This window comes from Homo sapiens, chromosome 3, assembly GCF_000001405.40.
Source record: "Homo sapiens chromosome 3, GRCh38.p14 Primary Assembly".
NCBI lineage: Eukaryota > Metazoa > Chordata > Mammalia > Primates > Hominidae > Homo > Homo sapiens.
The window spans coordinates 139269606-139293694 of NC_000003.12; the positions used below are offsets into that span (position 1 = coordinate 139269606).

At 49.2% G+C, this 24089-nt stretch overlaps 1 long non-coding RNA gene across 1 annotated transcript, besides 2 other annotated features; it reads left to right on the forward strand.

The window, feature by feature from the left end:
* The first annotated feature begins 11997 nt into the window (after positions 1-11997).
* On the forward strand, positions 11998-23568 carry LOC124906290 (uncharacterized). The gene is made up of 2 exons (XR_007096115.1): positions 11998-12230; positions 12926-23568. It is a non-coding gene; the product is annotated as an uncharacterized LOC124906290 (long non-coding RNA).
* Positions 13759-13950: a silencer, noted in NCBI's record as "fragment chr3:139002206-139002397 (GRCh37/hg19 assembly coordinates)". NCBI's record gives its function as "represses an EF-1alpha promoter that drives an FKBP-Casp9 reporter gene in an ReSE screen in K562 erythroleukemia cells {active_cell/tissue: K562}" and the evidence as "EXISTENCE:reporter gene assay evidence [ECO:0000049][PMID:32094911]".
* Positions 19627-19855: a silencer, noted in NCBI's record as "fragment chr3:139008074-139008302 (GRCh37/hg19 assembly coordinates)". NCBI's record gives its function as "represses an EF-1alpha promoter that drives an FKBP-Casp9 reporter gene in an ReSE screen in K562 erythroleukemia cells {active_cell/tissue: K562}" and the evidence as "EXISTENCE:reporter gene assay evidence [ECO:0000049][PMID:32094911]".
* Positions 23569-24089: the final 521 nt, after the last annotated feature.

The window sequence follows — 24089 nt, forward strand, 5'->3', positions numbered from 1 at the left end:
TCCTAAAAGTTATGCAACACAGTATTAATGTTTCTGGAGGTTGATTGACGCCTCAAAGCTAAAAATACATTGTAAGTAAGATGCCAGCCACATCCCTGCAGATTGCTAAAAGGTAGCAGAAGTGGTCCAGTGACTACCAATCCCCATCCCCCGCCTCCAGCCTACATAAAAGAAAGTAGATATTTGGAAGGAATTCAAGAGTCTTTGTGCCCTTCCATCTCTTCCACACCATGTGGGGTGGTGTTCCACCCAAACATGTTAAGAGGACTTAAAAAGTACTTGCAGAATTTGGGAGTGGACTGTTCTAGGGAAGGATATTTGCTGAGCTTTAGAAACCCAAGGGCCATCTTGCTGCTCTAAGGGAAGTGTGGTGAGAGTGATCATGGCACACACCACCTGGAGTTTGGGTGTAGCTGTGAACATGGAGACTGCTGCCTGCTTCTTTCTAGGAACTCATGGGGCTTGCAGGAGTGGCCTATGGCAGCAGGGAGAGGGACAAGTGCAGTGGCAGTAGAGCAGCCTCACATGAGAGTTTCCTGTGGGTCATGTGGACACCATGGGAAGTGCTGGGGCTCAAGCTGTCATGACAGGACCTGCCTGCTAGGGAGAGGGAACCCGAGCAGCAAGAAACCATGAGGAGGGCCACTTGTGGTGGTAGTGCTGAGGAAGGTTGCAAGAGTCAGCCAGAGAACTGTACAGTGTGGTGAGCAGGTCCCTGTAAGAGTCTACAGATACATACCCAGTGGGTGGGTGTGATGGTCAGCGTTTGGATGCCTGAAGTTGTAGAGGGAAAACAGCTAGCTACGGATGTCCTAGAGGGTACTACAAATAGGGCCTTGCTTCTCCTTTCTCTAGTCTCCTTCCTAACCCCCAAATCTACCCCCCAGGCTCCTACCCAGCTCTGGAATGCCTGGAACTGGGGAGAGGAAAAATGAAAGTGACCATGCTTCCTACCGCACTTCCAGGTTCTTGAGTGAGGTGTCACAGGTGAACGCTGGGAAAGGGAAAGGAGTATTGAATTGGGAGAGAGATTGAAGTTTTAAATGGAATGTGATATGGTTTGGCTCTGTGTCGCCACCCAAATCTCATCTTGAATTGTAATCCCCACGTGTTGAGGGAGGTACCTAGTGGGAGGTGATTGGATTATGGGGGTGGTTTCCCCCATGCTGTTCTCATGATAGTGAGTGAGTCCTCAGGAAATCTGATGGTTTAAAAGTGTGGCACTTCCCCTTTGCTCACTCTGTCTCTCTCCTGCTGCCTTGTGAAGAAGCTACCTACTTCCTCTTCCCCTTCCATCAGGATTGTAAGTCTCCTGAGGCCTCCCTAGCCATGTGGAACTGTGAATCAATTAAACCTCTTTCCTTTGTAAACCCAGTCCCAGGTAGTGTCTTTATAGCAGTGTGAAAATGGACTAATACAGGATGAGACTGGCCTTCTTAATACCTGAAAATGTGGTTTAATTCCTGGCTTTGGGGTCCACTGAAACCTTGTGAAGGTGAAGACAGGTTTGAGAGGATTTTTGAGGATGTCAGAGAGGGAAAAGCTATGCCCTGTGGGTGCCCCTTTGAGCATACAGATAGGTTATAGAACATAATCAGTAAGGATGCCTGTGAGCTTTGTGTGACAAAGAACAGCACACACGTGGAGGAGACTGGTTCCTGTCACACCCCATTTGCTGTGCTCTACTCTGCTGATTTGGAGATCCTTAGGACCAACCTCCCCATTTTGCAGATTGGGAAGCCAAAGCCCAGAGAGGGCAAAGGGTTTGGCCAAGATTATATGATCAGCCTGTATGAAAGGCTCCTGACCCCCTAAATGTCTGGAAATTAGGAATCAGTGACACTTTCTTGCTCATTCAACACAAAAAGCTGCAATCATAAAAGGACTCAACTTTGGGGGGGAAGTCAGGGAGGGGATGAAATGTAGACACTCATTTTCATCATCAGATGTTTCTCAGGGAAAATGACAGTTCCAGCCCAGACGGGGAAGTGGAAATGGCCTATGCTAATGTCTGGAAGTTGCAGAAAATGCTTTAATTCTGTTCTCCCAGAAGTCAGACCCATCCATTTGAAACTGCCAGTCAACTTTCCAGCAAAGGAAAACGCACACACACACACACACACACACACACACACACACACACACCTCTGCACAAATGGCTTTGATTAGGCTTAGCTGTAGGTTTAAGAAAATTTAATCATCTTAACCTGTTTAGTCTTTTTTCCTGATGAAAATCATCAGTGAGATTCCAGCATGAGCCAGTGAGAGCTGAGCTGCTGTCAGCACTGTTGTTTATGTTAATATGTTATAGGCATGAAATGGAGGAAAGTAGAATTATGAGTAAAAATCCTGAGTGAATTAGAAGAGTAGGGGTCTGTGGCAGGCCCCTGAGGCTGCCAGCGGGGGCCCTAAAAGGACTATTTATTTATGAGTCTTGAGATAGAGGTTCCTTCTACCTGTTAGAAAGCATGTTGAGAAACCCTATATTTCTATCTGTGATCAGAACTTGCCTTCTGCAGAACTGAAGGTCTAGAGCCCTATAGACACCATTTGCTAGCTGCGTGATCTCAGTCAAGTTAGTTAACCTCTCCAAATGTCAGTTTCCTCATCTGAGAAATGGGACTAACAGCTGTGTGAATCAGCTGGCATGTTGGGTGAAGGGACCAGCCCAGTACCTGGTGCATAGTGAGTGTTCAGTCAAATGCCCATGGCATCAGTGTTACCCTTCCTACCTGATGCCATTCAGCTTCTTCATGGTGCTCTCTCCTGGTGCCCTAGACCCTGGGTGCTGGCCCATGGATGACTGCCACTGAATGTGAGGTGGTCTACTGCTGACAGATTGAAAAGGCTCTAAATCCGGAGCCTTGACCCACCTCTATTATGAGGACCTGGATGACTTTGGTGACATCAGTGCTTCTCTGGACCTTAGTTTCTGCCAAATTGAGACCACTAGTTGTCCCCAGTATCCACTCTCACCTTCCTCCTAGGAAAAAATCCCAACTGCTATTCAACTAGAGCTGCATTTCCCAGATTCCTTGTAGCTAGGTGTGGCCATGTGACTATTTTTGGCCATTAAAATTCGAAAAGAAATGTTATATGGAACTTCTGAAAAGTCACCTAGAAAGGAAAAAGAGGAAACAAGTGAATGTCTGTCAACAAGTGAATGGATAAACACGGTCCATTCATGCTATGGAGTATTACTCAGCAACGAAAAGGAAGAAACCACTGACCCCATGCAACAATGCAGATATAACTCAGAAGGATTATGCTGAGCAGAAGAATCCAGACACAGAAAAATGCATTCTAAATGACTGCATTTACGTCAAGTTCTAGAACAGGAAAACTAATCTATAGTAATGGCAAAGGGGACATTGACTGCAAAGGAGCATGGGAGAAACTTTCCAGGGAGCCGGAAATGTTCTATATCTCCACTGAGGTGGTGATTACACGGATGTTTAAATTTGCCAAAACTCATCCAACTATACATAACATGTCTGCATTTTATTTTAGGTAAATTATACCTCAATACAATTTTTTTTAATTAAAAAAATTAAATTGCTTTTTTCTCTCTGGTGTGTAGCCGAGGAGCAAACAGCAGGCAAGGTGGGGCTGTGGGGCTGGGACAGCTTTCTCTCAGGGCCAGGATTATCTAAGAGGCTGAGTCCAGGAAAGGCCTGACTTTGTTCCTCGCCTCCCCACTCCCTGTGCCTACTCCTCCCAGCTGTGGCATCCTCAAAACCCACTAATAGGGAGAAATTGATGCCAAACTAGAGAGCGGGTCTCAGAGAGCTTTTATGCATGTTTTTGAGATGGGATTGCCTGACTCACATGAGGAGGGAATCTCTTCCTCACACCATAGGTCCCTTTCTCACAACAGAGAACTCTGAGGCCCATTGGTGGTCAGGGACTGGTCAAGTGGCAGGATCCCTTCTAGCGCCATTGCTCCTATATCACCCTGGGCTTGGGTCATCGGCAGACCTGACAGGCTGAGGAGGAGGTAGGCAGGTTGCCTTAAGGCTGGAACTGGAGCAGCCGCCTCTTCTGAGTGCTCAGTGCTGTATGCCAATCACAGGCCACATCAACATATTCCTGTGTGCAAGCTAAGGTGTGGAATGGGATGGGTCATGGGTGCACATGGGATGTGTGGCAGCAGTGACGGGGTGTACTATTTCCCAGACCTCTAGATTGCAGAGTAGGGACACTCCATAAGCTAAAGCCAGGTGCAGAGAGGAAGCTCTTGGTATTGCTCTAACAACACACAAAAACACACATGCACAACTACATATATGCACTCACATGCACATACACACACAGACCCACACATACTTCCAGCATGCATACACATGGATATCCACACCTAAGTACATACTACTCTATTTGTCTGTGAAGCCCTCAAATGCTTCTCACTCTTCCTTGCCTCTGAATCTTCACATGGGTTGCTGCCTCTACTGGGAGTGTACTTGCTTCCTTCCCTTCATCTGCACAAACATCATCTGCAAGTTTATACTTAAACACCTCTTTTCCAGAGAGACTATCACACCTGCCTGCTAGAGACCTCCCAGCCCCATGCAGCTCCTCCCTCAGCCCTCATCACACTCTTTTGTAATAACAGGTTTGATGTTTGTCTTCTCTGACAAATTGTGAGCTCCCTGAAGACAGGGCCTGTCCAGCATGGCCACCCTGCACCCCATCACCCAGCATAGCACTCAGTAGGTGCTCAAACAATACATATTAAATAGATGAATGAATATACACACTTACCCATCTGTGTCTACTTCCCCCCACATGATTGGGAGCTTCTTGAGAGTGGGACATTGTCTCAGATGTCCCTGAGGAGATTTTCTAAAGTGCTTGTTGAATGAATGGATAAATAACTGCCCACCCCCAAAACACACACACACACACACACACACACACACACTGAATGAAACAGGAACATTCCTATTCATCCAGACTTATGTGTAGTAAACTAAAGATGGCCACATCTTTCTAAGTGTTCCAACTGAGAGATGTCTAGTCCTCTGTCCCTTGAATATGAGTTGGCATTAGTGACTTAGAATGCAGCAGAAATGGTATCTTGGGCTTCCAAGCCTAAGTCATGAGAAGTCTTGCTGCCTCTGCCTTGACATCTTGGAACATTCACTCTTGGAACCCAACCATCATGCTGTGAAGAAGCCCCCAGCCAACAGCCTGAGATGAATTCCCAGCCGGCAGCTGACACCAACTTTCCAGCCATGTAAATTATCCTGGAAGTGGATCTTCCAACCCCAACTGAGTTGCCTTAGCTGATGAGCAAAGATGAGCTACCCCCACCAAGCTCTACTTATTTTGCATATTCATAAATGAAATTAATGACAATTGTTGTTTTAAGCCACTACGTTTTGGGTAGTTTGTTATGCAGCACTATATAACTAGAACACCATCCACTCGTGTATGAGTGGGCCAGGGTTATCTGACAGGCCAAGCCCAGGAAAGGCCTGTGTTTGTTCCTCACCTTCCCATTACCTCTGTCTACTCCTTCTAGCCCCTGGTATCCCCTAACCCCACTAACAGGGAGAAATGGACCCTAAACTAGAGAGTGGGTCTCAGAGAGCTTTTATGCACATGTTACCTGAGGTCTCTCAAGCTGCCACTGAGAGTCTGCCCAGATTACATCCCTGAACCACCCCGCAAAGGGGAAGGAGCAGATGAGGCAGCTGTCCAGGCCCCTGAGTATGCCTAGTATAGGTAGGTGACCAGGATGAAAGAGAGGGCAATGCTCTACAAGGGTGGGCGGGGGTATCTGGGGGCACTGATTCTGTCTGGGTCAGAGCCTATGTGAGGGGCTTGTGTGCTTTCCCAAGATCTCACACAGAAATGTGCCTTAAGTATTTATCAGAGACTGGGGTTAAGCTCTCTGTCTTGAAAACACTGGAATCCATTTTTCTTTCTGCATCCATCAGTGACCCTATTTCCCCTGAAGCAGGAGGGAGGATGAGAAGTACTAGTAAGAGTCAGCAGAGAAGAATAAGCTGTGTAGGCTTCTAAACCCCGCTGGCAGGTTTGGCCAGATCTAGTGTGCTAATGTGCACAGCTCCTGGTGGGTCCGCCAGGTGAGGGGCTGAGATGCTTTTGGAACTCTGAGGGTGTGGCTGGGCAGCTAACAAAGAAGCTAATGAACTCCTTGACCATCCTTACACATTGTGGGCTCTAGGGACCAAAGGAATGGCCTTTAAGCAGTCTGGTCTGGGGACAATTTGGAGAAAGCTCTTCCCTGGCTGAAAGGGCATCCTAGAATTTAAAATCGGAGAGTCACTCCGTTCAATCAAACTATCAACTCCAGGATCCTTTCAAAATGTAAATCTTGAAAGAAAAGAAAAATTTTAAAGTTTCCTGATACACAGGATACTAAGGAGTAGAGGTAAGTTGGTTTTGGTCATTAACACTTTAGCATGAGTTTATTTTTTTTTTTCTAGTGAGGGAAAGGGAAGAGCAACAGTGAGAAACAAATATATTTAAGGATGGAGAAAATTACTGGAAGGAGGATAGAAAAGGGAAAGTGGTATCTTAGAAAAAGTATCTTAGAAAAATATTTACCATCAGTCTAAATTTGCTTGCATCTAGCTTTGAGGCAGGAAATACTTTATATTTTTGTCCAAAATCTCTGTGCAGGGACTTCCATTTCTGGAGCAAGGGGCCTTAAATACCCTGAACAACTTTCCAAATGAAAACAATGATCTATCAGACAAAATATTTTAAAAATTTTAATACACGACTGAATTGACAAGAAAGTATAGGGTCACAGAGACTGAAACTGCGTGGAGAGTGTAAACACAGGATGATGGAGCACAGTGCCGGTTTTGTTCCAGGATCTACCATCCCCTGGTGACTTTAAGCCTGCATGTTGATGCTGAGCTGGAATGGGAGAAAATAGGTAAATAATGGGGCCCTGGGGCCTGCCCAAGTGGATTGTCTAATAAAAGACCCCTGCATAATGCTGGGGCCTCAATAGCTACACTTTCAATGTAAAAGTAACTAAGAAATAAATCTGCTGCATAGAAGAGAGCAAGGACAATTTGGTCCCATGTAGAAAAAAGTTAATTCTCCTGAGAATACTTAACCAAAAGTCGATTCTCACATGGATACATGATCCAAATTCATACGTTGTCAGAAATTCTTAAGCAGAAAATTTAATTCAACAGAGTCCCAAGTTGGTGCTTCCCAACAAGTGACTGGCAGAAACAAAAACAAATTATCTTTGCAAAATGGCACGTTCAGCTGAGGCCTCAAAGATTTCCCACAGATGTAAAGTTCCAATGAGGATTTCAGTTCCAGTCAAGAATCATAAAATCACACCAGAAGATAAGGGACCATGAGTGAGAACCAACAGAAACAATAGACTGTAGAATCAGATCTACAAAAACTTCAGATATTAAAATAAACAGACATGAAAAATAACTGTGTGTTCTAAGAAATGAATGTTTAAAAGTATGAACACAGTACAGGACACTTTTTAAAAATGCAGATTTGTAAAAAACCTGGAACTACTAGGAAAATGTATATAACAATTAAAAAATTCAGCAAATGAATTTACAACAGATTAGACACAGCTGAAGAGAAAATTAATAAACTGATAATTCTTAAGAAATTATCCAGTATGCAGGTCAGAGAGATAAAGATAAGAACAAGAAGAAAGTAAGGTTATGACATGAAGCATAGTGTGTGGAGGTCCTTGGAATTCCAGAAGGAGATGTTTATAGAGGGAATGGGGAAGAGGCAGTATTCAAATAAATAATGGCTAACATTTTCCCAGAATTGTTAAAAGACACCAAAACTTGGATGTTAGAAGCATAACAAATCATAAACAAGAAAAGTAGGAATTCAGAACCACATACATTTTGGTGAAACTGCATCAAAGACACATTATTTTTAAGTACATATAAATTTCATTACTCCTTGTATTATATACTTATATTAAAGTATTCTTTTGTAAGTATGGCATATTTCACAATATATTTTTGTTAAAGGCTATGAGTTCCTGAAGAAATGTGGCTAAAGTGAGGTGGCTGGAAGTTATCTCTGAATTCAGCTTTGGAGCTCTGGGAAGCAGTAGGGTGTTTGGGAAGAACTTAAATTTGAAATTAGGAAGACCTAATTTTAAAGCCCGTTCTATTGCTTCTCAGCTATGTGACATTTAGCAAGTTATTTTACCTCTCTTAATATATTTCCTAATTGATAAAATGAGAATCATGTTCACTTTTTGGAGTGGCTGGGATATGGCATAAATTTTAAAGACTTCTTGGGCAGGGGAAACCCTAGCGATGCCTAGCCAAAGTCTCTTTTCTCGAAGGGGAGTGTGAGCCCTGCCATCCCTGCCCCATAGGAGGGCCCACATTCCCCGTTTTTCTTCTCTACCAGGCTAAATTGGACCTTCCCTGGAACTGATAAAGATTATGGCCATGTACATAGCACCTTCTGCGGGCTGGGCACAGTGCTGACCATTGTATGTGTATTTCCTCTCTTTTCCTTGCAAGAGCCTTGCAAGGAAAGAGCTTTAACGGGAGATGCTGAAGGCCAGAGAGGTTAAGCCACTTCCCCCAAATCATACATCTACACATTGTACAAATCACTGATGTCTCTGAGCTTCACATTTACCATCTGATTACAGGGCTCAGAAGACCTTACACACCTCCAGAGTGAATGTAAGATCATGTGAGCTGGTGTGAAAATTCCAGCTCCTGACTAAATGAACCTTCGCTCTGTGTTGTCTACTTTTGAGTTTCTCATTCCCATGTTTCACAGCTCCAGCTGGCTTAGGTAAGAATCCAGCCCCTTCTTTCCTCCTATTCTAGGCCAGGCCATGACTTGGGAGATGCTGGGCTCCCAGAGATGGCTCAGCTGTGTGCCCACCATAGGTAGCAGCCTGGGTGGGGTACACTTCCCACTGCCCCCTTCCTGCCTGGCTCTGCCTTTTGCCACCCTGTAGGCCAATGACCACTGGTCCTAAGGCTCCAGGAAGCTGCCTCTGACCAATGTGAAAATCTGCCCCCAGAAAGCTCCTGCTGTGGCAGCCTGGGAGAAGGCACTCCTGGACTTACACCTGCACCAGGGCTGGCCCTGATGTCAGAAGCCCCAGGCTTCTGTTTCTGCGTGGCACCTTGGTCTCTTGAGCCCTGTCCTTACATGGACACCCAAAATGCCCTTTGAGGGCTTCTCTTGTGGCCTTCTCCCTTGTTTGCAGCTGTTTTCTAGGCTGGATTGGAAAGATGTATTTCTGGATGGACATGAAATGGGCTACTTTAAGACAGTGGGTTTGTCTTTGCAAGAGATAGAAGGGGTATGGCTGGGCGCAGTGGCTCATGCCTGTAATCCCAGCACTTTGGGAGGCTGAGACGGGCAGATCATGAGGTCAGGAGATTGAGACCATCCTGGCTAACACGGTGAAACCCCATCTCTACTAAAAATACAAAAAAATTAGCTGGGTGTGGTGGTGGGCACCTGTAGTCCCAGCTACTCGGGAGGCTAAGGCAGAAGAATGGCGTGAACCTAGAAGGCGGAGCTTGCAGTGAGCCGAGATCGCGCCACTGCTCTCCAGCCTGGGCGACAGAGTGAGACTCCGTTTTGGAAAAAAAAAAAAAAAAAGAGATAGAAGGGATTTGGGGAGGTGAAAGGGAGTTGGGAGCTGATGAGGATTGGGCAGTTGGAAGAAGGCATGGGAGATGAAGGGAATGTGGGGTGGCAAGGAGCCACCTCTCCATAGCGGCTCCAGTGGTGAACCATGGTGGCAGTGTGGGGGTATCTGACTTCTCCCGGGAGCCTGAGATCTTCCATTTCCTGAAACTGGGGGCTACCTCTCATCACAATGGTGCCTCCCCTGCCATGGGGTGGCCCTGCTGATGAAGAGTGCCCAGGGGCTTGACTGGGGTGAGCGTGAGAAGCCATATGCTCCTGGGAATGAGTCCACCCAACTTGGCTCTGTCAGTGGGACAAAGATGACAATAATAGTGACAGCCCTCCTCTGAGCAGTTACTCCAAGCAGAGTGCTATGCTGAGGGCCCCACAGTCCTGGGAGGGATGTGTGGTTGTTATTCCCACCTAGAGTTGAGGACACTGAAGTTAAAGAGGGAAATAAAAATGATCCAAGGTCAACATAAGGAACTGAGTCAGAATTTGAGCTAAAGCCCACACTTTTCATCATACCTCAATCCTACCTTCTAGGTAAGGGGGCTCAAGGACAGCTCGTCATCCAAGACTGCTTTAACTTTAAGAAAAATCAGAAAGACATTCTTTAACATTCAGGAGCAAAGAGTGATCTGTGTTGACTGTATAAAGCTTAGAGAATACCAGAGAGTAGGAAAGTCAAAGAAACAACCCTGCCCCGCCACAGGGGAGCACAGCATGGCATAGTGCAGGCTGGGCTGGGGGCTGAGCCCTGGCCAGGCTGCAGGAGAGGACTGTAGCTACTCTCAGGACTTCCCAATGGGGACCCAGATCTACCAGTGTGAGCTGGTAGTGTAAGAAAACACATCAGACGGTCCAGGCACTCAGACATAGTGTTGGAGCTTGGGCCCGTTGCTTGTGCTGCAGAGGAAGGCCATTGGTTTGAGTAAACTTGTGGTCAGGTAACACTTCCTGGAGAGAGGTGTGGTGGGGGGGGTGGTTGTCAGGCTAGTAAGGAAGAAAGGGAAGAAATGTCTGGCAGCGACATCAAGAACCTCTGAAACAGTGTAGGGGAGTGTCTGTGAATTTACTGGGCCCCACTGGGTGAGGATATAACTGAGAGAAGGGCAGGCAGATCTGGAGACATCTTCCAACAGAACAAGAGGGACACCAAGTGACTGCATGGACTTGGTGAGCAGAGAAGTGGAAATGTGCAGATGTGGTAGCAGGGAGTCACAGTGTGGCCAGGGGCCAATGGTCAAAGGCCAGGCAAGGGACATCTGGGCTGACTGGAGGGAGAGGCAGTTGCCTCTGCCTCTAATGCCTGGAACTTCCATCTCATAGGGGACAAAAAAAAGGAAGAGAAAGGGAAGGAGTGTTAGATTGACCTAGGTCAATCCCTCTAATGCCTGGAACTTCCATCTCATAGGGGACAAAAAAAGGAAGAGAAAGGGAAGGAGTGTTAGATTGACCTAAGTTGACCAAGAATTGATTGAGAAAGAAAGAAAGAGGCTGGATCTCCTGCAAAGCGGCCCAAGGGCTTCCAGCCATGAATGGACCCAGATTCAAGTGCAAAGCTATGCTGGGAAATAAAGAAAGGCACAGCTTTGTCTACTGAGGTCTTGTGTGAAAATCCACACCATCCCCTGCAGCGTGTTTAGTTCTGCTTCTCCAAGGTAGGTCTCCTCCCGTTTTAAGCTGGAGAGCTAAAGCACAGCAGAGTGAAGTGGCTCACCCAAGCCCACAACAAATGGCTGGCATTTGAGCTCACATCTGTCTGACTCCAAAATCCATATCCCCTTGGTCTCATTGTCTGAAGCTTACTGCCTGGGGATCCTGGGACAACATTTCAGCTGCATTCCCAGCAAACAGATCCATGAGCCCAGAGAAGCACCCCAGCCATGCCTGAGACTTGGTTCCCAGCCACTCAGCACCACCTCCTATGGACAGAGCTGGAAAACTGGGCCACAGGAAGCAAGACTGCATGGCTCTCTCCTCTCCTTCCAGTATGGCATTGAGCACTGATTAAAAAGATAATCTGGAGGCTGCTCTAGGGCCAGGCGCCATGCACAAAACACCAGAATGATTTGTCATCTGAAAAGCTAAAAACATCTTGATGGGTGGAGAAATCTTGATGAGTCGATCATGGAAGATTATGCAAATCCCTCTGCCTTTGGTGCAGACTTTTCCAGCCAAAAGATACCACCTCCAGATGTGGTACCCTCTAAAAATAGCAGGTGGAGTCATCTCCCCTGGCTAATTGTTCTAAGTGGTCCCTCAGTGCCATCTGGAAGTGGATCTCCTCAGTGTACCAGGACATCGCCCCAATTATCTATGCAACGGCTCCTCAATGCTGGCCTTACAACAGAGGCGGCAGCTGTCTCCGCTTATTACACCTCCCCGCCCCCTGCCATGGCCGGCACTGACTCTGCCTCTGACGCTGAGGATACGCACTGCACACGCCCTGCCAGATGCCAAAGGAAGCCATTCTTCTGGAAGAAGACTTTCTCCTGAAAGCCTCCTGGAGGCAAAGTTCTGGCAGAACGAGGCAATTTCCCTCCCTGCAGGCGGAAGGAAGGCAATTAGAGCGGGTAAGGATGGGGGATGCTTTCTCTTTTCTTCACTGCTGGCGAAATATGGGCCAGGTCACGCCACTGGCAGATGCTGCTGGCTGTGAGTGTGCAGCATCGACTCCAGATGGGTTTCTTGCCAGCATCTCTGGCAACCAGGGCAGGAGAGGTGCATGTGCCTGTTCTTCCCAGGGGCTGTGGGTGCCACAGGGCAATGCCTATAGCAGGCAGGTCTGGGACAGCTCTCAGATGTGTGCCTGGACCCAGGTAGTCTGAGATCTTCGCCAGGGCCTCTGACCACCTTGGCCTCTGAAGCAATTAACTGGTTTCCCTGCTCTGTTCACTGGTCAGTTCTGAGTAGCATGAGATGGCAGAATTCTCAGAGGTCACCTGGCTCATGAGAAAGTGCCAGGAGGGCATGTGAGTGCTTGGAAAGGTCCTCCCCAGAGGGAGAAGAACCAGGTCAAAGACTTTGTGCAGCATGGAGGAGAAGAAGGAAGGGAAGAGAGGAAGTACTGCCTGATGTGTGGCCGGTTAGCCTTGTGCCTGCCCAGCCCTGCCTTGAGGAGATGATGGAGGGAGGGGCAGAATGTCTTCCAGGGAAGCAGGGGATGCAGACTGCTAAGAAGATGCACAAGTCTGTCAGTGTACCAAGTTGTTGTTCCAATCGTGTCTGTAGGGATCTTTAATCAGAAATAACTTCATTGCAATTTCAGGAGCTAGGGCTGAGAGAGGGGAAATGATGCAGACACTGCCACCCAGCAAGTGAGAGGAAGGACTGAACATGGACAGAAGGGCTTGAGACATTGAGCCTTGGCTGCTTTCACCCATCCCTTCAATTGCTGCCCTCTTTTCTAATGGCCTGAGTCTCCAAATGGAGCCAAGCTGGGGGCACCCTGGCCAGGAGATGTGGCCTGCTGTGCCCCTGAGAAGAGCTGTCCCAGGCACACAGAGACAACATTTGGAAGTGGAAAATGCCTCTGGAGCAGTCAGAGTGTTGGGAAGTCTCATCCCATTCTCCGTTTCAGGAACCTTCCCTCAGCAACAGCAGAGCAGAAGGGAACTCAGTTCAGCATAACTCGGCAAGTATTCCCGAGCAGCATGCTTGGGCTGGGCAGGGGAGACTGTCACAGCCAGAGTGGGCAGTGCTGTGACAGGAGGCTCCCTGTGCAGTTCCACTTTGTCTCTGTGACTTCGCACAGGTTGTTCCCTTGCCTGGAATGTCCTCCCCCAACCTTTTCTTCCTGGAAAACTTCTATTCAGCAAAACTCAGGTTAAATTTCACCTCCTCCAAGAAGGCTTTTTCAACTCTCTATGCTGTGCTCTCAGAGCCCCCTCCTCAACACACACACACACACACACACACACACACACACACACACACACACACACACACACACACACAGCTTTCCTCTACCAGGACACTATCTGCTTCTTGACTAGACTGCAAACTCTTTGAAGTGAGTGATCATTTAACCAGCATGATGTTTGTCACATAGTAGATACTTCGTCAATGTTTAGGAGCCAAGGAGAGAAACCACAGTGAACAGCCACACTGTACTTTCCTCACTGTGATCAGCACAGTCTTGAACTGTGGCGTAAGGGCTTCCCTGTGATCCAAGGAGGTGCTTCCTGCTGGTGAAGGAGGAGTTGGGCCCGGGGCTGCAGCCACCTGGGCGAGAAACCACTGGGAACCTGCTCTGTGCCAGGCCCTGCCTGGGCTTTGGGGGTGGGAGTAAGACACAGTCCCTGTCCTGAGGACCTGCAGTCTGGTGGAGTGGACAGGAGCTGGGTTGACATAGGATCTGCCAGGCAGAGGGTGCTGATTGTCATAGACAGCTTGGATGTCAGGGGAGCCTGAGGTGGAGAGTGGTGGTGGCTATTGAGACCATTCTCCAGAGAGGACGGGGTGCAGGTAGAGTTTCAACAGGTTGATGGAAGGGGATTCCAAGTGGAGGGGGGACCAAGGACAATGACAGAGAGACGGGAGCCTGCAGAGCAGTTGAGTATCAGTGAAGTATGGGAGCTCAGCTATGGCATCTTGGAGCTAGAGGGAGAGAAAGATGAGGGGTGAGCCTGGAGCCTACAGCTGCCAGTGCTGGAGGGCCCCTTGCATCAAAGCCCTTTCCTGTGGAGGATAACGGGGGCCTTGAGACCAGGATGCCTGCCAGGAGACTGGGCCAGATTGGAGGGCTTTGAGTGTACTGATACAGATTGCTTAAGCCTGACCCAGTGGGCAGCAGACATCTTCACACAGGGGGTACAGGCTGGACCAGCATGAAGGCAGGATCTGTGGGGCATCTGCACTACCACGTGAAGTTTAGCAGGCCTCTGCACCCTGCCTGTCTCTGCACCTCTCCTGCCATTATGCCTTGATTCAGGCCTTGCTCCTTTGAGTAAAGACACTGCCTCCTCTTAGGATGCCCACACTCCCAGAAAGGGTAGCACGTTAGGCCTCAGATACCCCAGCATGGGCCAGTGGAAATGGACTGGAGAGACTCAAGCCAGCACGAGGGTACTTGGAGCCTGGGGAATGGGGGGTGGGGCCAGGCAGGAGGACACCAATGCCAGCATCACCCTAAGGGAAGCCTGGGGTGATCTCACAGCCTTGCCTGAGATGTGGGACAGTCTGACAGGCAGCTGGGCCAGCGGCTCCTCCCTCAGCCTACAGATGGATAGGAACTGGCCATAGCTCAGCACTAGCTTCTGTGAGTAATCAGACTGCATGACTTTTATTCTTGGATAGCCTCTGCTGCCGAAAAGGAATATGGTATGAACTTTATATACTGATGTGGAATATTCCCATGAAATATTAAATAAAAAAAGTGAGTTGGCCAGGCGCGGTGGCTCACGCCTGTAATCCCAGCACTTTGGGAGGCCGAGGCGGGCAGGTCATGAGGTCAGGAGTTCGAGACCAGCCTGGCCAACATGGTGAAACCCCGTCTCTAGTAAAAATACAAAAAATTAGCTGGGTGTAGTGGCGGGCGCCTGTAATCCCAGCTACTTGGGAGGCTGAGGCAGGAGAATCGCTTAACCTGGGAGGTGGAGGTTGCAGTGAGCTGAGATTGCACCACTGTACTCCAGCCCTGGCAACAGAGTGAGACTCCGTCTCAAAAAAAAAAAAAAAAAAAAAAAAAAAAAGCGAGTCACAGCACAATATATGTAATATTGAACATTTCTTTAAAAATGAAAATCTGTCCAGTTGCTTTGACTCATGTCTGTAATCCCAGCACTTTGGGAGGCCGAGGTGGAAGGATTGCTTGAAGCCAGGAGTTCAAGACCAGTCTGGGCAACAAAGTGAGACCCCCCGTCTCTACAAAAATTAATAATAAAAGAAAGTTAGATGGGTGCAGTGGCATGTGCCTATAGTCTCAGCTACTCATGAGGCTGAGGTAGGAGGATTGCTTGAGCCCAGGAGTCCAGAAGGTCAAGGCTGCAGTGAGCTATGATCTTGCCACTACACTCCAGCCCTGGCAACAGAGTGAGACCCTGCCTCTAAAACAAAACAAAACAAAAATCTAGTCTAGAAGTGCTTGTAGGTGTTTGTGAGTACATAGAAAAGCTCTGGATGGAGACTTGGCCGTTTTACTATAGTGGTTACCTCTGGGGAGGTGACTGGCATTGTCGAGGGGACATGCATATCTTATTATGTATGCTTCTGCACTATGAAGTTTACATTAATTTAAAGTAATGTTGGTTAACACCCTGAGGACTAAAACATGCTCATCACACCCTCCTCGGGACCTCTGCTCTCACTGATATCTCAGCACATCTAGCTGACAGTGCCTGTCCACATGAGCTGGGCCCCAAGTCCAGCTTCCTCACTTACCCGTTGGGGCACACCTGGGCAGGGCCCCTCCCTGAACTCTGCTTTCCCTGCCTGAAAATGGGAGCAATGGTGATAACAACCTCTCCTCACCAGCTCATCTTGGACGTAGAGGTCATGTACAGGCTTTGTGGATGACCAAAGATCCAAGTGCTTCTGTGTGGCTGCCAAGGACAGTGCAGGCACAAGAGTCCTTCCCACAATGAGGACTCAGGCAGAGCAGGTGGCCCCTCAGGAGGAATCACAGCTGCTGCCCACAGGGGCTGCTCTGTTGCTTCTCCACCATGGCAGAGGCTAATGGGGGCCCTGAGGCTTTGGGCTCAACCCGACTAATCCCTGTGTGGCTGCTTTCTAACTGTGACATGCTGGGCCCCACCCATCCTCTCTCCTCTTTGTAAAAAGGAGAAATGAATACCTACCTTGAAAGAGGACTCTAAGGGTTATACAAGATACTACGTGTGCACATGCGGAGCACACAGTGGCACGGATACATGGTGTGCACACCTCCCTCCCCGCTGATACCTGGGGGAGAGCCCATTCCACATAGTGTCTCCAGCAGCCCAGAGTCCAAGGCGGCCTCCCCAGCATGCCCACCAGCCATCCACCATGGGTTTTGGGGGCTCACCCTAGCATATTGTTCTCTCACACTACCCTCTGTCCCACTGCTCTGGTGTAGAATGGAACTCACAGACCTTCACCCCACTCCTGTGCTCCCGAGGGGCACACCTGTGGCATAAATGGGAGGAGTGCCCGGGGTACAGGTGTGGCCATGGCAGTGCCGGGAACTGTGGATCTCACTCAGGAAGACATATGCAGACATCACCTGAAGTTCCCAGCAGGACAGGGAGTGGCACAGGCAGCTCCATGCAGTGTAGACGGCAGCACCTGTACTAGACACCTGGGTCACACCTGACTCTTGCTCTACTCCACCCAACTGTGTTGCCTCCAGAAGGTGCTTGTCAGTAAAGTCAAGTGTCTGTCCCAGCTCTGACCACACGTTGCTATTGAGAGGAAATGCAAGGGATCAGGACAGAACAGATGCAATCCAAACTCATGCAGTGGGTGGAGATGGGGTAGGGTGGGGCCAGACCCCTTTCTCAGGTTGCCTAACCAAAGGGTGCCTAGGTGGGGCCTGGTTGCAGGAGGGCTCCTCATCTTCCTGTCTGTAGAGACAAGCTTCAGTTGCCTTTCCTTCTTGGCGGTCTGGACAGCTGAACCCCACTCCCCCTGCTGCCCTCCCCTTCCCCCTTCCCTCCGCCCATTCCCCCTCACAGCCCATTTTCTGGCCGAATTGTTCCTTGGTTTATCTTTGACCTCCACTGCAAACCAGGCTCACTCTGACAGGGCTTTGAAGTCAAGTGCCTGTGTCTCCCACTCCAGAGTTGGGTCCAGCCCAGCTGGACTCAGGCTGGATGCAGGGCTGAGGTGGGGCCGGCCCCCCAGCATGCCGGCTGTGGGGGTAGGGAAGGGCTGGTGCAGGCAGAATAGAGGCAATCGTGGTGACCAAGAGGGAGTCAAATAGGGACAGGGTGTGGACGCCAGGGTCTGGGACTCAGGGCCTCACCCCAGAGCTTGGTGGTGGAGATTTCTAGGGAACAACCATAAAAGGCTAACACAGGTGGGTGCTGGGATCTACTGCCTAAGTGCCATGTCCTGACCTTTCCCAGTGATTCTCAAGCTTGAGCATGCATCAGAATCTTCTGCAGGGCCTGTTAAAACACACAATACTCAGCCTTGCCCAAGAGTTTCTGATACAGTAAGTAGGTCTGGGGTGGGGTCTAGAATCTGCATTTGTAACCAGTTTCCAGGTGCTGCTGCTGCTGCTGAGCTGGGACCACACTCTGGAACCACTGCCTTAAGTACTTTGCCTTCCACTCCCTGCAGAACAGAAAGAGCAGGCTGAATACACTAAAGGGAGTGAGGGTGTCTCAACATTCCCTTTAGCAGGATTAACCATAGGAATTGTAACACTGCTTGAGCTTTTATTGGGTCTCAATAAGATAATAACAGATTATCTTATTGAATCCTTACAAGGGCCTTGTAAAATAGGAATATCACACCCATTTTAGTGAAGGATAAACTGAGACTCACAGAGTCCAAGCACCCCAAGTCACCCACTGGGCAGTAGCAGAATTAGGATTTGAACCCGAGCAGCCTGGTCCCAGAGCCCATGTGCTGGAGCTACAATACCGATCCCTCTGGACAGACAGGTAAACGATGGTTGACCATGGGATCAGTTCAGAGCCTGGAGCAATCCCTGTGCGTGAAAGGCTCAGTGAGGACCTGGGCATGCTGTGGGCAGGGCTGCCTCTGTCCTGATGCTCCTAGCGCAGGCCAGGGTTCCTCTCTCTTCCCCACTGCTGGGCCCTGCCAGGCAGAGGGCTGGATGTGCCCCAAGAGGAGAACAAAACCCTGAGGAACAAGACTGAGCCCCCATGTTAGTTCAGTCCAATCTGATAGCATCAGAAGCACTAAGATGTTGGCTTGGCTCCTTCTACTTTTTTTCTTTTAAAGCTGTTTCAGAATTTCCTTTGCCCATATTTTATTTTTCATTTGAAAGAACTCCTCCCTGCTCCTGCAATCCACCTGGCTATATAATTCCTGGACTGAACATATTCTTACTTATGTGAGTATATGTGTGTGAACCTGAGGGTGCACTGGGGCCTGTGGACACATGGGGGTGCCTGTGTGTCTTTGCAGGCATCTGTGGTGTGCAGAGTGCCCACATGTGCCTGGGTGCATGCAGGCTCGGGTATACACACTTGGGGGTCTGAGTAGATGCTGCCTTGCTCCTGGATGGGCACTGACCCCTGACTGTGAACAGATGTGCTTCACAAGACCAGGCAGGGATTGCAGCTGTGTGGCTGCCAGAAGGCGGCCAGTTGTGGGGCTCAGAAAGGAGCCTGGAGCACCTTGACCCAGCAGAGGAGCACCTTACCCTCGGTGCTGCTGCCGGCCGGCTGGCCAGGACGGCTGCCTCTCCCAGTCTGTAATGCTGTGCTGTGGGGTGTGGGGGAGATAAGGTTGCCAAGCTGTTTATCAAGCCCTTTGAAACGATCTGGGGCTGCTGGCCAGGCCAGCAGAGGAAGCAGCACTTTATGGGCCTGACTCTGTGGTGACCTCACCACTCGGTCCTCTCTGCTCTTCTCCTGTGCCTCTCTGTCTTCCACTGTCCCATCCCCACGATGGAGCTGACTAAAAAAGGAGGTGCCCTACTCCTCATTCACTCACCTTATGGGGGAAGGAATAGCCCCTGGAGGGAGAGGGGGAGGAAGAGAGTAGTGGGAGCGCCTCTGCGTCCCTAGGCAGGTGTGGGCTGGAGTAGGAGGGAGGGAAGCAACGATGGTCTGTCAAGGTCCTGGCTTTGCTCCGCTCTGTGGTGACAGGGCAGGCCTGGTTTCCCTCCCAGCCCAAGAAGGACCCCAAAGTGAAGACAGAAATGACAGAAAGCAAGAGGACATGGTTAGGACATTCCCTATGTCGGCCCATCCATTTATGCCCAGGGCCTAGCACAGCCTTTGGCACATGGCAGGCACTAAAGACTATTTGATAAATATTGCTGAATGAAGAAGGAAAGAGCTGGAAGCTTGTTGGAGAATAAGGAGATGAAGAAGATGAAGGCAGAGAAATGGCCAGAGGGAGAAGCCAGGAGCCCAGCATTTGCAGGCCCTGAGATGCTACCCAGGGAAGCCAGTGATGGGGAGGCAGAGAGGGAGAGAAGGGAGAAAAGATAAAACAACAGTGGGCAGTGAGCAAGAAAATGGAAGAGGGAAATTTGCCCTCAGGTCTGGAGGCCTGGATTCTTTGGTGGGGGTGGGCTGTGTCCTCAAAGGAGAAAACCAGGTTCCTCCCATGTAGCTTCAGAGAAGTGTATCAAATCCGGTGGGGTTAGGGTGTGGGATTGGGACAGTGGCAGGCATCTGGATATGAAGGCCAGGCCTGCTCTGAGAAGAGAAGGTCTGTGCAGAGCAGGGTGCCTCATCATTATGTCACCCCATCATTGTCACCACATGTCTGCCATGGGGGTCCTGCCCGTCCATTCCTGCAGCGAGAGAAACAAGTTGAGGCTTTCAAAGGGGTTAGGGGGATAAGGGGAGGACACAGAGATGGGAAGGGACCCAGATGTGCCTGATGTCAGAGCCCAGGGGTTAGAAAGGGCAGGAAGGCTTCTTGGAAGAGGTGGAATTTGACCAGCTGAGATTTTAGTGACAGTAAATTGCATTATCTGGAAGCACCAGTTGGAGAAAATGAAGCCCCCTGTCTTTTCTTAGTCATGAGAGACATCCTGTCTTGGGCTGCTACGGCTGCCAGCCTGCATTAAGCTGCCTTTGGGCCCCCTGTGTGGAGCAGGAAAAATTAGAGCCAATCAATGCGATTTCAAGGCAGCAGCTCCTTCCCAGCAGCCCGTGGCCATGCCTGTTAACCAGCCCGCAGCCCCAATGGCCTGATACCACAAGCAAATGGCCCCTAATGGGGACCAGACCTCCTTTTGCCCTCCCACCTCCCTGCCTGTGTGTCTTTATGCCTGCGTGCTGAGCTGAGATCGTTGCTCCTGGGGCCCCTGTCCTGCCTAAGGGCCCAGGACCTACTGGGCTAGGCTAGGGGGTGGGGTGGGGGCAAAGTGGGGAAAAGAGCCCTGCAAATGGCCCCTATCCAGCAGGGAGCTGGACAGCTCCAGCCTGTAGGGTGGGCATGGCAGGGCTCAGCTTGGCCCCAGGCAGCTGCAACCAGGTCATCTGACCACTTTAACCCTACATCTCACTCTGCCCATTGGAAGATCTGGGTATTCTCTACCCACCCTTTGCCAAAGACAGCCTAGGGAGGCTGGATGCTGGGCCTGCTAGAATCTTCAGTGTGTGTTGCTCCTGACCAGGCCTTCCTCCTAAACTCCATTTTCCTGGCCTTGACTTGGGCCCTCATTGGCTGTCACCTGGGATTCTGCTTTTAAGCCCTCTGCCTCCTGCCCCCCTCCACCCTGCCGCTGCCAGGAGGCTTTCTAAAATACATCTGATGGGGTTACTTCCCTGCTTCACCATCCCCGGTGGCTCCCGGCTGCCTTCAGGGTGAAGGGTAAAGTCCTGAGCTGAAAGGGTCACTCCTGGGCCCTGTCCTGCCCACTTCTAGGCCTCTTCTCTTGAATGAGCCAGGATGAGGATGAGGTGAATGAGGAGCCCACCCACCTTGGGTGCAGAATTTAAGGGGGCACCAAAAAACTCAGCAATCAAAATAAATAATGTTTTAGTGCAATCTTTTAAAAACCAAAATTAATGAAAAAAAATCCATGATGAACAGAATATGAGTATTGACGAAGATGTGGACTGACAAGACGGGATCAGAGAGAGGGAAGTAAGGTGAATTGTGTAGGTGTGGGGCAGATCCTGTCTTTATTTAGCCCTGCCAGCCTCACCCTTGTGCTGGGTCTGCATCCAGATATGCCCAGTCATTCTCTACCTTTCAGAGGGACCCCAGGAAGTGCTTAGAATCCCCCCATCACCCAGGCCTTTGTATGTGTCATCCCCTCTGCCTGGAATTCTCTCCTGTCTTCCTTCTTCTGTTCTTCATTCCTCTAAAACTTGGGTCTGGAAGCCCCTCCCTCACTCCCTAAGCCAGGTTAGGAGCCCTTCTCTGTCTCTTCCCTGACTTCCCCCCTCCAACCCTAGCACAGCCCCACAGCACTGAGATCCAGGGCTGTGACCACTAGCCTCTGAAGCCATGTGGTAAAATCCTGCAGAGCAGAATGGTGAGGCATTCATTTCTGCATCCGTAAAGCCCATCATGGAGCCTGACACAGATTTTCTTCAATTACCTTTGATTGACCGAATGGATAAATGAATGGACAAATAAAAGAATAACATGGCTGTGAGTCACAGGCCATTTCAATGAATACTTCAAGGATCAAAATTAAATAAAACCCTCACGGTTCCTCAGATCCAGATGGATCCACAGGCTACCAGCATCATAGAATAAATGCTGCAACATTTTGGTCCAACAAAAAAGATTCTAGCAGTCTCTAAAAATCTTGCCATAGGATTTGGTCTATACTTTTAAAAACCACTCTTTTTTCATGATAAAGCCCTTCAACTTGCTCTAAAAGGCAACATAGGAAGAGAGAGACGATGCAGGCCAGTCCTCTCCAAATAAGGCAAAACCCAGCTTTATTTTTAGTAATGACTTTCCCAACTGCAAGAGGGCACAAGTCCATGATCCAGCATTACAGAAACCCACCAACTTCCAGAAAAGTTTCAACAACTCATAAAGACTCACATGTGCATGCAGACACAAAGACCCATTTTAGGGAAGAGGCCCCAAGACATAGTCTGAAGCCCCAGCTGGGGCCCTTTCTCCATGACAACTCTTCAGCCAGCCTGGACAGTGCAACCCTTGAGTAACCCCAGCTTTGCTTAACTGGGACAACCCACCTCTCCTCATCCTCCTGGAGAAATGCAGTTTTGTATTTTCCTGATGTTTGATGGGCCCGACATCAGAGGATCCTCGAAAGTCATATTCCCTGGGAAATCTGACCAAACCGTAAGAACGAAAAGACTATTGGCTAACTTTGTGGAGACCACTGAGAGCTCAGTCCTCAGCAGAGGAGCTGGAGGGAAAGAGACATTGGAATACTTCACTGTGATTGTCCACGCCGTCATTCTCTTCATCTGTATAAACTGTGGCTGGTTCACTTTAACCCTGAGCAGGAGCTGCCTATGAAAGAGGATGGCTGGAGTCAGATGCCTGGGCACTCTTCTGGTCAAGTCGGGAGCTCTCAGTGCCTGCTGACTCATCTGTAAAATGGGGATAACGTCAGGATGAGCTAATAACGCGGAAGCCAGAAAGGCTGATGCCATCTCTGTTTCCAATATGATTTTTATGGCCTCCAAGATGGTGTCCTTAGAATCTTTCTCTGCAGCAGGCTCGTTTTTCTCCTCAAATTCCTCTGTGTTTGGCTAAGAACAATCTGTTTTTCCTACACTTGTCAAGTTGCTCGAAATTCCTAATGCCCATTCATGTTCTTTCCAAGGATTAGCAGAGCACTCCTCGCTTGTCTTTCATCACACTCCCTCCGCACATGGGGTAAAAATTACATTTGAGTGGAACCCTGGCTATCGATGCCTGTAAAATGGAGACTTTGGCGAGACTCACTTGCCTGGGTCAGAGTGGGAAACAGGCTGAAAAACAGGCCTGAGCATCTTTAATGATGTGCAGAAAGAGAGGGGCCTCTGCCCCCACGGGCAGATGTACACAGCTGCTAACAGAGAAGCCCCTCATCCTGTACGACCAGTGCAGAGAAACGATCCCCTCGAATGCTTCCTAGTGGAGTTAAGAAATTTTTTGTTGATCGTGCCTTTGAACTAAGGTCATTTAAGTATACAACAGATGTTCCTCTGAGGGAAACAGACTTATAAAGTCAGGAACACAGAAGGGACCTAATGGTTTACTAGGGGTGGCGCATTAAGTTCATAGCAATTTAACTCCTTTCAATGCTAAACAAAACAATGACGCAATTTGATGCGCAATAAAAACTTGTCAAAACAATCATCCTGGGCAGTGGAGGTCCTTTCAGTCATTCTTCTTCTAAAGATAAACCAAGGGCACAAGTGACAGACGTTTCTGGCTTCTCTGTGTAGTTGGAGCAGTCAGTGTGGCAGCCTCAGCCGCTCCAGGCTGGATCATCCAGGATGGTTGAAGCCTGAAGCCTGGGGGTAGAGGGAGGGGGCAGCCGTGAAATAAAAGGGCAGAAAATTCATGATCTGAGTGGCTTCCTGGCTGTGCTAGTTTTCTGTGGGTGGAATTAGTGATCACCTGGGAAGTAGGGTTGGGGGGTGGCTGGGCAAGTCCCACTGCTTAATAAGTCCCTCCACAGCCTGCTTCACATATCAGACTCCACAATGAGGGCTTTGTGAGTGAAACCACAGGTATGTATTCAGTGTCTCCTATGTGTCGGGCACATCCATGGGGTTCAGCATTGCCTTCTCCAGGGTCCTCTGTGTAACTACCGCTTTCCATGAGAGGACTCCAGCAGCAAGGCAAAAGAAGACTGGATTTAAATTCAGGGA